This window comes from Homo sapiens, chromosome 14 (genome assembly GCF_000001405.40).
Source record: "Homo sapiens chromosome 14, GRCh38.p14 Primary Assembly".
In the NCBI taxonomy this organism is placed as follows: domain Eukaryota; kingdom Metazoa; phylum Chordata; class Mammalia; order Primates; family Hominidae; genus Homo; species Homo sapiens.
Genome location: NC_000014.9, coordinates 95,716,485 through 95,731,885, shown reverse-complemented (window position 1 = coordinate 95,731,885; position 15,401 = coordinate 95,716,485). Strand labels below are relative to the sequence as shown.

Genomic DNA, 15,401 nt, shown 5'->3' with positions numbered 1-15,401 from the left:
CACATTTTACTTATCCATGCCTACAGGTGCAGATTGCTTACTTTCTGCTCTCTTTGTGACATTCATTCATTTCCTGATTCACAAACATCTGTTGAGTGCTTTTATCCTTCAGGCAATAATCTAGATATTGGGGCTAAATTATACTAAATTGAACACCCTTATAGCAACTATTACTCTGGGGGATTACATCTTTGAGTGGGATTGCTGGGTCAAAGGAGGTACACATACTTAATCTCAGAATCCTGCCAGATGGATCTCCAGAAAGGCTGTATCCGTTACCCTCCTACCACCTATGCCTGCAGGTTTTTCTTCTTTGCAGACTCCCCAGAATTCAGTATTAGATGACTTCCTATTGTTTTTCAATGTGATGGGTGTGATTTGGTATTATGTTGCTTTAATTTGCATTTCTTTGACTAGTGTTATGATTAAACACCTCTTTTCAAGCAATGGGGTTTCTCCATCTGAATTTTCTGTATAGACTTTGCGATTTCCTTTAGACTTTTTGTCTTTATATTGCTGATATAAAAAAGCTCTTGGAATGCTCTAGATGTTAATTCCTCATAGGTTTTAGATACTGCAAATACATTTCCCTGTCCTGGTACCTGCCTGTCATTTTTGCTGATCGTTTTCTTCCCATTTTTTTTTTCCTGTATGCTTTCTTTTTTTTTCTTGTATCTTTCTTTTTTTTTTTTTTTTTTTGAGATGGAGTTTCACACTTGTCCCCCAGGCAGGAGTGCAGTGGCACCATCTCGGCTCACTGCAACCTCCGCCTCCCGGGTTCAAGTGATTCTCCTGCCTCAGCCTCTCAAGTAGCTGGGATTACAGGCACCCGCCACCATGCCCGGCAATTTTTTTTTTTTTTTTTTTTTTTTTGTATTTTTAGTAGAGACGGGATTTCGCCATGTTGAGCAAGCTGGTCTCAAACTCCTGACCTCAGGTGATCTGCCCGCATCAGCCTCCCAAAGTGCTGGGATTACAGGCATGAGCCACCGTGCCCAGTGTCCTGTATGCTTTCTAATTTGAGGGTTTGTTAAGGAGATTCTTCTGCACTCCTGAGTCACAAACATATATATTGTTTTGCCTCTCATGTGTGCCTCTTTAATCCATTTAGAGTTTTTGTTTTGGGGTTTTGTTTTGTTTTTAAAACACTGTGAAGGATAGGAACCTAGCTTTCTCCATATAGTAAGGCAGTTTCCAAAATACTATTTATTAAAAGGCTCATGCTTTCCTCATTAGATGATACCTTGATCTTACATGTAATCTTCATAAATACTGGGTTCACTCCTCTATTCGTTTGATTTATTTGTCTGTTGTTGGAAAAATCATGCCTCATTTTATCATTATAGCTATTAGAATATTTTTAAATGCATAAGGAACACCCTCTTTGCTCTAACTTTGCTGCTAGAAGAACTCTATTCTTCCATAAAAATTTAGAATATGTCAAGTTTTTATTGTGATTGAAATCACACTGAATTTGTCGACCACTTTGGGGGAAAACTGACATCTTTACAATACCGAGTCATCACATCCATCCAGGTGAAGCAATCTCATTGCCCAAGGCATGACTCCAAGTTCTTTGTTTCACAACCAAGAAAAGCAAGGAGCGAGAACACCAAGGGTGAGGTTGGAGCAAAAGTTTAATAAGCGAAAGAAGAAAGTGTAAGAGTTAAAGAAAGAAGAAAGAAACAGGAAATGTGGCTGGCGGTTAAAGACAGGTTTTCTTTAGATAAAACCTGAAAGGGGCTCCTGGCTGATTTTGGTGAGAAGCACTTTCTCTTACAGACTGTAGGGTAAAGAGAGATCACACTGTTATTGTGTCTATGTAGAAAAGGAAGACATAAGAAATTCCATTTTTATCTGTACCCTGAACAATTGTCTTGCCTTGAGATGCTGTTAATCTGTAACTTTAGCCCCAGCCCTGTGCTCACAGAAACATGTGTTATATGGAATCAAGGTTTAAGGGATCTAGGGCTGTGCAGGATGTGCCTTGTTAACAATATGTTTACAAGTAGTATGCTTGGTAAAAGTCATCGCCATTCTCCAGTCTCGACTAACCAGGGGCACAATGCACAGCGGAAAGCTGCAGGGACCTCTGCCCAGGAAAGCCGGGTACTGTCCAAGGTTTCTCCCAACTGAGACAGCCTGAGATATGGCCTCGTGGGAAGGGAAAGACCTGACCATCCCCCAGCCCGACACCTGTAAAGGGTCTGTGCTGAGGAGGATTAGTAAAAGAGGAAGGCCTCTTGCAGTTGAGGTAAGAGGAAGGCCTCCATATCCTGCATGCCCCTGGGAATGGAATGACTCAGTGTAAAACCTGATCGTACATTCTTTCTATTCTGAGAGGAGAAAACCACCCTGTGGCTGGAGGTGGGGTATGCTGGCGGCAATGATGCTCTGTTACTCTTTGCTACACTGAGATGTTTGGGTGGAAAGAAGCATAAATCTGGCCTATGTGCACATCCAGGCATAGTACCTTCCCTTGAACTTATTTGTGACACAGATTCCTTTGCTCACGTTTTCTTGCTGGCCTTCTCCCCACTATCACCCTGTTCTCCTGCCGGTGCGAGTCTCTGAGTTCCCTCAGTATTTATTGATTACCATTCTACTATCTCAGCAAGGGGAATGCGGCATCTTTTAATAGGTGTTATGGTCTGACTGCTTGTCTTCTCAAAATTCATATTGTTAAAACCTAATCACCAATATAACAATATGAGGAGGTGGGGAATCTGGGAAGTGAGTCTTCTGCTACTTTGTTAGAGTTTTTTTTTACATATTCTGGATCTGAGCACTTTGTCAGTTCTGTACGTTGCAAATATTTTCTCCTCCTCTGTGGAATTTTACTTTCTTTAATGAAAAGAAGTTCTTAATCTCAGGAAATCCAATTCACCAATGTTATTAGGGAAGAATTTAAGGTAGAGTTTAGTGGCTCCTTGTGCTACCCTCCGCCCCACTCTGGGTGGCCCAATGAGCTTCTGCCATTTCCCAATATAAGGTTTCTTTCTGGACAGCAATTCATTCATTCAAGTATTTCTTAAGCATCTCCTGTGTGACAGGCTCTCTCCTGGCTGTGTAGGATTCAATGAAACAAAACAAAAGCTTTGCCCTTATAGAGCTTACATTCCAACAGGGAGTTAGAAAAGCATAAGTCTGAAATCTTCAATGTGAGTAATGAAATAAATCATCAAGACTGCTGAGTGGGCTGAGCTGGGATTAGACATGATGAATGTATAAGATCAGAAAGATGCTATGACCTTCTCCAGCGGCACTCAGAAGCCTGAGAAGAGATAAAGCAGGCAATAGAGGGTTGGAAATTAAAATGAGGAAAAAAAACAGCAACTCTTTGGCTTGATTTTCAAGCAATATATTCTAATCTCCAGAGGTTATTGCCACAACTGTTCTGCTCAATTTTAACACAATATAGCAATGCCCAGACTAATCCAGTGGTCAGCTTTTTGGCTCAAACAGAAACTAGGAAATGAAAAAGATTTTAGTGAGGTCACTAAGCTTTAGGAAAAATGGGTGTTGTCCAGGCTTTGCCATCCCTAGCCTCTCACTCAGATAAGATCATGTAAAATTAGACAACAGATTAGGAGAATGAAGATGCACAGACACTATCAGAAAGTGATGCTAACAGGAAGAGAAGAGAAAGTAGATGAGCACCTTGCAAGGCAAATGGAGCTAAGAAATACAGGAGTCGGGGGAGCACGGACTTTAACTCTTAAGGGGTGAGCAGCCTGATCAGGGGATGCATTCAGGCTCCTTGTGAACATTTCCAAATCATTACATGGTGCGATAACTTGACATGATAGAGCCCAGAAAAGAAGATTTATTTATATTTAGTCTACTACCTTTATGAACTCAAGGATAGATGTGATGTTGTCCTCTAGAGGGAGAATTCTCTGCCCCACCCCCTACTGCCAATGATATTTTTAAGTTGTCATAAATGGAGAAAAACTTCAGTTATCATGAATATAAACCACACGATCAGTAGTTCTTAACTTTTAGAGTCTTAGACCCTCTCCCTAGAAAAAGAAGTCATGTATTTACATATAAAGAAAATTTTGCATACAATTACAGGACTCTGATGCCTAGCTTTGAACTTCAAGCTGCAATCTCTGACTTATATGTAATACTCTCATTTATTAGTGATACAAAAAAAATAAATACTGTTACTATTTTTGTTCCACTTTGCCAAAGTTAGTGAATCTTCCATGATACCCTCTCAGTTATATTTCTTAATAACAATGAGCTTAAAACCCATGTTTATAAATACAGTGTAATCCTGGTTAATCTTCCCCAGCTCCACTTCGTTGCTGAGTAATTTATGCAGGGCTATATTTATTCACCTGTTCAGTGCACCACGCTGTGGCCTCACCCACCTGGAGACACCCTGGCCTGATCTCAGCTTCCTCCCATCCTCAGGCCTGTGGACCCAGGCCACAGCAAGCCTCCTGCCCAGGTGCACCTGACTGCTGAATGCCTGCTTCCCACCTCTACCCAAATTCCCCTACAGTTTTCCTAATTCCAATTTATTTATTAAATGTAAGAATAATGTCCTCCTTTATGGAGAGGTACTGTGACATCATCTCTGCCCAGAGTGTACTTGAACAGCAGCGCTGATTGTCCAGGAGAGTTTCCAGGACTCGACAGTCACTGAAAAGCTCTCCGTGCAGCTTTTAGGCGATTTAATGTCTACATATTACAGCTCATGTCTCTGCTCTTATGGGAGCCTCTCAGGCTCTGCTCAGAGCCCATCTGTTTGTACAACACACAGAATACTAAGAAATTCATGAGTTTTTTGTTGACAAAGATTAAAAGCAAAATGTATAAGCAAAATGCAGAATGCTGGCATATATGGGGATATGAGTAACCTACATTGTGTGTGTTTGTGTGTGTGTGTGTGTGTGTGTGTGTGTGCATGCATGTATGTCATTTTTGAAATCCAGGGCACATTTCACATGTTCAATAGCCACATATGGACAATGGTCACATATTGGATGGCACATCTTTAGAAAGTTAATCACACGAAGGCCTTATATATAAGGGCTCTTAGAGGAATTACTCCATCAAGAAGTGAATCTAGGAAGGAAAAATAGATATAAGAAGTAAATGTAGAGTGATGTCACCTAAGATAGTGGAGTAAAAGAAAACAGCCTTCACTCCCAAACAGCAAAACAAATATTGACAGGTATCCACAAACCAAAATAGCCTTGGGAGGGCTCAAAAGCCCATTCCCCAGCACTTTGGGAGGCCAAGGCGGGCGGATCATGAGGTCAAGAGATCAAGATCATCCTGGTCAACATGGTGAAACCCCATCTCTACTAAAAATACAAAAATTAGCTGGGCATGGTGGTGTGTGCCTATAGTCCCAGCTACTCAGGAAGCTGAGGCAGGAGAATCACTGAACTCAGGAGGCGGAGTTTGCAGTGAGCCGAGATCACACCACCGCACTCCAGCCTGGGGGATAAAGCGAGACTCTATCTCAAAAAAAAAAAAAAAACAGAGAATACCTGCACAGAAAAGATTGCTTGTGAGACTGGCAGAACAGAGATGCCAGAAAATGGTTAGAAACAAAGAAGAAAGGCAGAGGCTACTGGCATCAGCCATATGGTAGAAGCCATCCTGTCCCCAACAGCCTGTTTCTCAGGGTGTAACACCATCTTCTGCCTTGAGGTTGAACAACAGCCATTTTCACTGGTGAATCTGAGAGAGAAAAAAACCCTTGGGTAGGGTTTTCCCCGCCCAAGAAACAGCTGTTGTGTGGCTTCAAGACTACAGCCACCACCCTCCCTTGGGTATGACCCTGACACACGAGCCACAGCTGCCCCACGAGTGAACACACTCCAGACACCAGGCTCTGTGGCTGCACTACACCCACCCGTGTGTCAGACACCAGAGACATAGCCATAGAACAAGCTTACACCCCAGAGCCCAGAATCAAGGTCTCTCTGCACATGTACATGCCTATACTTCAGGCATCTGCTCAGCTGCCACAGAGAACTAGGCCCTGCCCTAACCCCGGAGCCACTGTAACTCTGACTATGTCTGTGCTCCCATTCTTGGCTGACACTTCACAAGCACTCACATCTCATATATTGTTACCAATGCAGCAGTAGGGGTGCCTTCTCCCAGGCACCAGCAGACCCCAGAGCCATAGTCCCTCCACACATGCCCAAGCTTCAGATCTCAGCTCTATGGCTACTCCAGGGTACCATTCATCAATACTAATGCCACTGCCAATGCAAATCGGCCCACAAGCTGGACCCAGTACCAAAAGGGAACTCCTGTCCACAACTTACCCAGTTGGAGAAAAAGAAGTTGAGAAGATCTTAGCAGCTATTACCAGTGAAACCCAACAATCTTCACCACCACTGCAGACATCCACACTGTTGGCCACTTGCAATCTTCAGCAACATCAACACCTGAGCTGACAGAGCTGCACAGAGACACTGTCTGACAACAGTGGCACCCTCACTGGTGTCAGAACTGCTACACAGCATCCAGGAAGTGCCTTCACACCTCCAAGTAGAAGAAGGTCTTTCCACATTGAAACTAGCCCATAAAGTCTGGAAGGGATTGATCTTAACAAATGTGCAGAATTCAACATAAGGCAACAAGAAACATGAAAAGCCAAGAATACATATCGCCATGTATTAGTCCATTTGCATTGCTATAAAGGAATACATGAGGCTGGGTAGCTTATATAACAAAAAGAGGCTTATTTTGGCTTATGGTTCTTCAGACTGTACAAGAAGCATGGCACCAGCACCTGTTTCTGGTGAGGCCTCAGGAAGCTATTCCACATGGCAGAAAGCAAAGGGGGAGCAGATATATTACTTGGCAATAGGGGGAGTAAGAGAAAGAGGGAGGTCTCATACTCTTTTAAACAACCAGGTCTCATATTAACTAATAGAGCAAGAACCCGCTCATTACCATAGGGTGGGCACCAAGTCATTCATGAGGGACCTGCCCCCATGATCTAAAACCTCTCTTCAGGCCTCACCTCCAACATTGTGAATTACATTGCAAAATAAGATTTGGAGGGGACAAATATCCAAAATATATTATTCCTCATTGGTCCCCCAAATCTCATCATGTCTTTCTCATATCGCAGAATACAATGATCCGTTTCCAGTAGTCTCCCAAAGTCTTAACTTGTTCCAAACATCAACTCGAAAGTCTCATCTGAGATTCAAGGCAAATTCCTTAGAGTTATGAGGCTGTGTGATCAAAAATAAATTATTCACTTCCAAGATACAATGATAATACAAGCACTGGGTAAACAGTCCCTTTTCAAAAGGGAGAAATCTGCCAAAAGAAAGGAACAACAGGTACCATGCAAGTCCAAAACCCAACAGGGCAGACATTAAACCTTAAAGCTCCAAAATAATCTCCCTTGACTCCATGTTCCACATCCTGAGCACACTGGTGCAAGGGGTAGGCCCTCCAAGCCCCGGGCAGCTCCATCCCCATGGCTTTGTTGGGTGCAGGCCATGTGGCTCTGCTTTCATGGGTTGGAGTAGAATGTCTGCAGCTTTTCCAGGCTGAGTGCATATTGCTGGTGGCTCTACCATTATGGGGTCTGGAGGGTGTTAGCTCAGTTTGCACAGTTCTACTAGGTAGTCCCCTAGAGGAGACTCTGTATGGGGGCTCCAATCCCACATTTCTCCTCATCATTGCCTTAGTAGAGGCTCTCTGTAGGGGCTCTGCCCTTGTGACAGGTTTCTACCTGGGCACTCAGGATTCCCCATACATCTGAAATCTAGGTGGAAGCTGCCAAGTCTCCATAACTCTTGCATTATGCACACCTGCAGATCCAATACCATGTGGAAGCCCCAAGGCTTATGGCTTGCACTCTTTGGAGTGGTGACCCAAGCTGTACCTGGGGCTGTTTGAGCCAAGGCTGGAGCCTGTGCTGCAAGTATGTGGGGAGTAGCATTGCAAGGTAAGACAGCACAGGGCAATTGTGCCCTGGGCCTGACCCCTAAAACCCGTCTGTCCTTTTAGGCCTCTGGCTTGTGATGGGAGGGGTGACCTGGAAGATTCCTGTAATGCCTTTTCCCCATTTTACTGAATATTAGCACTTGGCTCCCTTTTAGTCATGCTAATCTCTCTAGAAGAGTTTGCTCCCCAGCCTGCATGGATCCTTCTCCTTTGGATTCCTCTCCTGAAGATGCTCTTTCCTTCTCTACCACATGAACAGGCTGAGGATTTTTGCTCCCATATCTTACTGTAGGTTGTTAGAAGTAGCCATGCCACTTCTGGAATGCTTTGCTGCTTAGAAACTTTTTCCGCCAGATATCCTAGGTCATCACTCTTAAGTTTAGTTGTCCATAAAGTCCTAGGACACGGATAAAATGCAGTTAAGTTCTTTGCTAGGGAGTAACAAGGGTGAATTTTGCTCCAGCCCCCAGTAAGTTTTTCATTTCCATCTGAGACCTTGTCAGCCTAGCCTTTACTGTCCATATTTCTATCTGCATTTTGGTCACAACCACTTAACCAGTCTCTAATAAGTTCCAAAGTTTCCCTTATTTTCCTGTCTTCTTCTGAGCCCTCCAAACTCCTTCAATCTCTGCCTGTTACCCAGTTCCAAAGACACTTTCACATTTTCAGGTATCTTTATAGCAATACCTCACTACTCAGTACTAATTTTTCTGTATTAGTCCATTTTGCATTGTTATAAAGGAATGCCTGAGGCTAGGTAATTTATAAAGAAAAGAAGTTTATTTTGGTTTATGGTTCTGTAGACTGTACAAGAAGCATGACACCAGTATCTGCTTCTGGTGAGGCCTCAGGAAGCTATTACTCATGGTAGAAGGTAAAGGGCCATGTCACATGGTGAGAGGAAGCAAGAGATTGGGGGGAGGTCCCGGACTCTTTACCAACCAGATATCACATGAACTAATAGAGCAAGAACTTACTCATTACTGTGGGAAGGCTGCCAAGCCATTCATGAGTGATCTCTCCCTGTGATCCAAATACCTCCAGGTCCCACCTTGAGTATTGGAGATTACATTTTAACATAAGATTTAGAGGAGACAAATATCCAAAGTATGCCACACCACAAAACAAACAAAAAACCAATAATCTCCCAGTAGCTGACCCAAAAGAAATGGAGATATATAAACTGCCTGACAAAGAATTCAAAATAATTGCTATAAGGAAGCTCAGAGAATTTCAATAAAAATACAAAAAAACAATTCAATTAAATCAGAGAAACATAAATGAACAAAATAGATCAAAATCATATACAAAAATAAACAGAGATTGAAATCATATGCAAAAATGAAAATTCTGGAGCTGAAGAATTTGGTGAATGTAATGTGAAGTGCAACAGAGAGCATCAACAGCAGAATTAATAAAGCAAAAGAAGAAACTGTGAATTCAAAGACAGGTTATATGAAAGTATACAGTCAGAGGAGAAAAAAGAAAAAACTTTAACAATGAAGAAAGCTTAAAGAATTTATGGGGCAGCATCAGGAGAACAAATATTTAAATTATGGATGACCAAGAAGCAGAAGAGAAGAACAAAAAAAAAACCAGAAAGCTTATCTAAAAAAATAAAAGCTTCCTGGTGCATAAGGGGCACCAAAGAAAATAAATAAACAAATAAATAAAAGTTAGAAACTTCCCAAATCTGGGGAAAGATATAAATATTGAGGTATAGGGAGGTCAAAAGTCTCCAATCAAATTCAATCCAAATAAGACTGCACCAAGCCATATTACAATCAAACTGTCAAAAATCAAAGACTAAGAGAGGATCCTGAAAGCAGCAAGAAAAAAGAAGCATATCACATAAAAGAGGGCTCTAACAAGGCTGGCAGTGGATTTCTCAGAAGAAACCTTACAGGCCAGGAGAGAGTGGGATGATATAGTCAACATGCTTCAGGGAAAAAAAAACCCTGCAAACCAATAATGCTTTACCTGACAAAGCTGTCCTTTAGGAAATGATAAAGACTTCCCAGAAAAGAAAAGCTGAGGGAGTTTGTCACCACTGGACATACCTTACAAGAAATGCTAAAGGGAATTCTTTAACCTGAAAGAAAAGGATGCTAACAAGTAACAGGAAAACATATAAAAGTATAAAATTCACTGGTAAAAGTAAGTACAGAGTCAAATTCACAATACCCTAATACTGAAATGGTAGTGTGTAAATCACTTATATCTTTAGTATGAAGGTTAAGGCTAGGCATGGAGGCTCACGCCTGTAATCGGCACTTTGGGAGGCCAAGGTGGGCGGATCACCTAAGGTCAGGAGTTTGAGACCAGCCTGGCCAACCTGGTGAAACCCCATCTCTACTAAAAATACAAAAATTAGCCGCGTGTGGTGGCACATGCTTGTATTCCCAGCTACTCAGGAGGCTGAGGCAGGAATCGCTTGAACCCAGGAGGTGAAGGTTGCAGTGAGCCGAGATCATGCCATTGCACTCCAGCCTGGGTGACAAGAGTGAAACTCCATCTCAAAAAAAAGGGGGGGCGGTTAAAAGACCAAACTATTAAAAAGAATAACAACTACAATGATTTGTTAAGGGATACACAATATAAAAATATGTAAATTATTACACAAACATATAAAATGTAGTTGGAGGGGCACTGGAGTAAAAGCGTAGAGGTTTTTGTGATCAAGGTTAAGTTGTTATCAGCTTAAAATAGCCCATTGTAACTATTTGATGTTTTATGTAAGCCTATGATAACCACTAAGCAAAAATCTATAGTAGATACACAAAAGATAAAAAGTAAAGAATCAAAGCATGCCACTAGAGAAAACCATCTAACCACAAAGGTAAACAGCAAGTGAGCAAGAAAGGAAGAAAGGATCTACAAAATAACCAGTAAACAACGAGCAAAATTACAGTAGTAAGTCCTTACCTATTAATAATTACCTTGAATGTAAATGGATTAAATTCTCTAAGAAAAAGAGTGGCTGAATTGATTTAAAAAAAGAAAAAAAGCAGACTCAACTACATGCTACCTACAAGAGACTCACTTTGCCTTTAAGAACACACATAAATTGAAAGTGGAGGGATGGAAAAAGATATTTCATACAAATGGAAACCAAAAGAGAGCAGAGATAGCTATATTTACATCAGATAAAATAGACCTTAATTCAGGAGAACATTGACTACATAAAAAAAGAGACTAAGTTAAAAACTATAAAAAGAGACAAAGGTCATTATATAATGATAAATGAGTCAATTCATCAAGAAGATAAAATAATTACAAATGTATATACCCTCAACCTCAGAGCATCTAAATATATAATGCAAATATTAATAGACCTGAAGAGAGAGATAGACTGCAATACAATAATAGTAAGGGAACTTAATACCTCCACTTTCAACAATGGAGAGATCATCCAGAGAGAAAATCAATACAGAAATATTGAACTTGAGCTACACTTTAGACAAAATGGACCTAACAGACATATACAGAACATTCTATACAACATAAGCAGAATATATTCTCAAGAGCACAGAGAACCTTCTATAAGATAGATTATATGTTAGGCCACAAAACAAGTGTTAACAAATTTAAAAAAATTGAAATCACATCAGGTATCTTTTCCAATCACAATGGCATGAAACTAGAAATCAATAGGAGGAATTTTGAAAATTCACAAGTATGTGGAAATTAAACAACATGCTCCTAAACAACCAGTGGTTGAAGAAGAAATTACAAGGAAAATTTAAAAATATTTTGAAACAAATGAAAGTGGAAACACAACATACCAAAACATATGAGATGTAGCAAAAGCAGTTCTAAGATGGAAGTTTATAGCAATAAATGCCTACATCAAAAAAGAAGGATCTTAAATAAACAACCTAACATCATACCTCCACAAACTGGAAAAAGAAGAAGAAATTAAGGTTTAAATTAGCACAAGAATGGAAATAATAAAGATCAGAGCAGAGATAAATGAAATATACTAGAAAAACAGTAGAAAAGATCAAGGAAACTAGGAGTTGATGTTTTGAAAAGAGCAAAATCAATAGAGCTTTAGTTAGACTAAAAAGAGAAGACCTAAATAAACAAAATCAGAAATGAAAGATGAAACATTACAACTGATACCACAGAAATATAAAGGTTCATAAGAGCCTGCTATGAATAATGTTGTGCCAACAAATTGGATAAACTAGAAGAAATGGACGAACTCCTAGACATATATAACCTAGTAAGACTGAATCATGAAGAAACAAAAAATCTGAACAGAGCAATAACAAGTGAGAAGATTGAATCAGTAATAAAAAGTCTCCCATCAAAGAAAAGCCCCACAACCTGATGCTTCACTGCTGAATTCTACCAAACATTTAAAGAACTAATACCAACCCTTCCCAAGTGCTCCAAAAAATTGCAGAAGAAGGAATACTTCCAAATTTATTGTATAAGGCCAGCATTACCCTGATACTAAAGTCAGACAAGGACACTGCAAGAAAAAAATATATTACAGGCCAATATCCCTGATGAATATAGATGTAAAAATCCTCAACAAAATACTCGCAAACTGAATTCAACAGCACATCAAAAGGATCATTCATCATTATCAAATGATATTTATCCCAGGGATACAAGGATAGTTCAACGTGCACAAACCAGTAAAAGTAACACATCACATTAACAGAATGAAGGACAAAAACCATATGATCATCTCAATAGATGCAGAAAAGGCATTTGACAAAACTGAATATCCTTTCAAGGTAAAAACTCTCGACAAATTAGGTCTAGAAGGAATGTACCTCAGTACAATGAAGCATATATGACAAGTCCACAGCTAATGTCATACTGAATAGTAAAAAGTTTAAGGCTTTTTCTCTAAGATCAGGAACAAGAGAAGGATGCTCACTCTCACTGCTTCTAATCAGCACAGAACTGGAAATCCTAATCAGAGCAACAGGTAAAAGAAAGAAAAGGCATCCAAATGAAAAGGAAGAAGTTAAATTGTCTCGGTTTGTAGAGGACATGATCTTGTATGTATAGAAAACTCCTAAAGATTCCATCCAAAAGCTGTTCGAACTGATAAATGAATTCAGTAAAACTGCAGGATACAAAAACCAACATACAAAAATCAGTAACATTTCTATACACTAATAATGAGCTATGTGAAAAAGAAATTTTAAAAATCCCATTCACAATAGCTACAAAAAATAATAAAATACTTAGGAATAAATGTAAGCAATGAGGTGAAAGATCTGAACACGCAAAACTACAAAATACCCATGACAGAAACTGAAGAAGACACAAACGAATGGAACAATATCTCATGTTCATAGATTGAAGGAATTAAAATTATTAAAATGTTCATCCCACTCAAAGCAACCTACATATTCAACGCAATCCCTACCAAAATTCCAACAACACTTTCACATTAACAGAAAAAATAATCCTAAAATTCATATGGAACCACAAAAGGTCTGAATAGCTAAAACATTTTTGAACAAAACAGAAAAACAAAAACAAAGCTGTAGGCATCATAGCATCAGTAGGACAGTAACACCCAAGGTGTGGAGTAATCCCAGGATTGAGAAATGTTTCCAGTACAAATGTAGGTCAATTTTAACTTGCCTCTGGCAAATGGCAACCACAGTTGTAGCTCAAAGTGTCCAGTGCAATTCTATCACATCTTGGTCACTCGCTAGCTTGGCAGAATCAACTATTCGCTGCATTTTGAGTAGGGGTTGTGAGTTGTGTTTTTCATTTGTGTTTTGTGTGGGTATCAAGGGTAGCATGGGGGTTAGTATAGGTCCTTGCCACCCAGAGGTGATTTATAGACCATTAGTACCTGTATCAACTCCGAGGATATGAATATGTTACAAATTCAGAATCTTGAGAATCGCCTCAACCCTACCATATTAGAATCTGTATTTAAATAAAATCTCCATATACACCTTAAAGTTGGAGAAGCTTTAAGTTCCTTAGAACTGTTAATTTTAAAGAGAGAGATGATAGCTATGTAGTGGGCAGAGTAGGATCAGTCCCTAATTTCTACTTGAAATATCCTTGTCTCAGATTCTCCATTAATTTAGAGATACCATTTCATCCCTTATGAGTAAAGGCTACAACATCTTTTGTACCCTGAACTCACTTGATCAGCAGCCTTAATTATTTCAACTATGGCCCAGACCTAGGAACTAAAAAAAAAAAAAAAAAAACAAAAAAAAAAACAGGCTGGGCACGGTGGCTCATGCCTGTAATCCCAGCACTTTGGAAGGCCGAGGTGGGAGGATCACCTGAGGTCAGGAGTTCAAGACCAGCCTGACCAACATGAAGAAACCCCATTTCTACTAAAAATACAAAATTAGACAGGCGTGGTGGCGCATACCTGTAATCCCAGCTACTCGGGAGGCAGAAGCAGGAGAATCGCTTGAACCCAGGAGGTGGAGGTCGCAGTGAGCCAAGATCACACCATTGCATTCCAGCCTGGGCAACAAGAGGGAAACTCTGTCTCAAAAAACAAACAAACAAACAAAACACTCCAGGCATGGATGCCTTAATAGCTACATATATATCACAGATTCTGTGTTTTACACATTAGCAAGATCTCAGACCCTTATGATTCCAATAAACTTAGGGCTATGGATCCCTGACCACGAAGGATTGGAAGCAGCAAAGTAGGGCAAAGGGAAAGAAGTAAAATATGGAGTTGGGGTGAAGTTTACAATGAGAATTGATGGTAGAAAGAATAGCTTTGACATTTTCGTAGTTATTTAGATTTATAAATCTGTGCACACGTCAAAAACAGTCACTCAGATCTTAGAGAAATTGTACTTAACCCTGCCTACGTGTTAGCATCACCTACTTTTCTCAAGCCTCAATCTCGGAGATTCTGATGTAATTGGTTTGGAGTGGGATCCAGGCGCAGGTGTTTCATTAAAGCTTCCCAGGTGATTCTTAGTGGTTTAGGCTCAGTCATCATAGGGCCCAAAGGCCTAAACACCTAAGTAGCCTCTAAATAGGCTCTTTCCAGCTTGCTATAATCATTGACAATCAAGGACCCCAGGGTTGGTGAGGATGACCTTGGTTACTAGGATTTTCTTTTAAGAGGAAAACACTCTATATATTAGAGGTGATTTTGGCAGAAAATAAGATAGCCTGGAAGTAAATGATACACAAACACCGATATAAGTCCTGTGTCATAGTTGGAGAAATCTGGAGGGCACTGGTGTGTTGAATCAGACACCCCCTATCTCTCCCTCTTGACCCTCCCTCCATATAGCCCAACATTTACCATGCCCGTGAATCACCTGGGGGTCTTGTTCCAATACAGATTCTGACTCAGTAGTCTTGGGGGAGGCTCCAGATTCTGTCATTCTTACGAGCTCCAGGTGATGCTACTGTAGCTGGTCCAGGGACAACACTTTGAGTCAAGGTCATCCTGATGGCCTTGACTACTCCTCAACCCCTTC

General features: G+C 40.4%; 1 long non-coding RNA gene across 1 annotated transcript in view, besides 4 other annotated features; it reads right to left on the bottom strand.

Annotated features, from left to right (window-relative positions):
• The window catches only part of LOC107984703 (uncharacterized), a 41,297-nt gene that overhangs the window by 24,894 nt on the left and 1,002 nt on the right, over positions 1-15,401 (bottom strand). The window contains exon 2 of the long non-coding RNA NR_148060.1: positions 14,318-14,415. This is a non-coding gene — a long non-coding RNA (uncharacterized LOC107984703). The remainder of the gene's footprint in view (positions 1-14,317; positions 14,416-15,401) is intronic.
• Positions 1,917-1,996: an enhancer, noted in NCBI's record as "active region_8980". NCBI's record gives its function as "activates an Ori minimal core promoter by ATAC-STARR-seq in GM12878 lymphoblastoid cells {active_cell/tissue: GM12878}" and the evidence as "EXISTENCE:reporter gene assay evidence [ECO:0000049][PMID:35858748]".
• Positions 2,057-2,206: an enhancer, noted in NCBI's record as "active region_8979". NCBI's record gives its function as "activates an Ori minimal core promoter by ATAC-STARR-seq in GM12878 lymphoblastoid cells {active_cell/tissue: GM12878}" and the evidence as "EXISTENCE:reporter gene assay evidence [ECO:0000049][PMID:35858748]".
• Positions 5,469-5,538: an enhancer, noted in NCBI's record as "active region_8978". NCBI's record gives its function as "activates an Ori minimal core promoter by ATAC-STARR-seq in GM12878 lymphoblastoid cells {active_cell/tissue: GM12878}" and the evidence as "EXISTENCE:reporter gene assay evidence [ECO:0000049][PMID:35858748]".
• Positions 5,559-5,658: an enhancer, noted in NCBI's record as "active region_8977". NCBI's record gives its function as "activates an Ori minimal core promoter by ATAC-STARR-seq in GM12878 lymphoblastoid cells {active_cell/tissue: GM12878}" and the evidence as "EXISTENCE:reporter gene assay evidence [ECO:0000049][PMID:35858748]".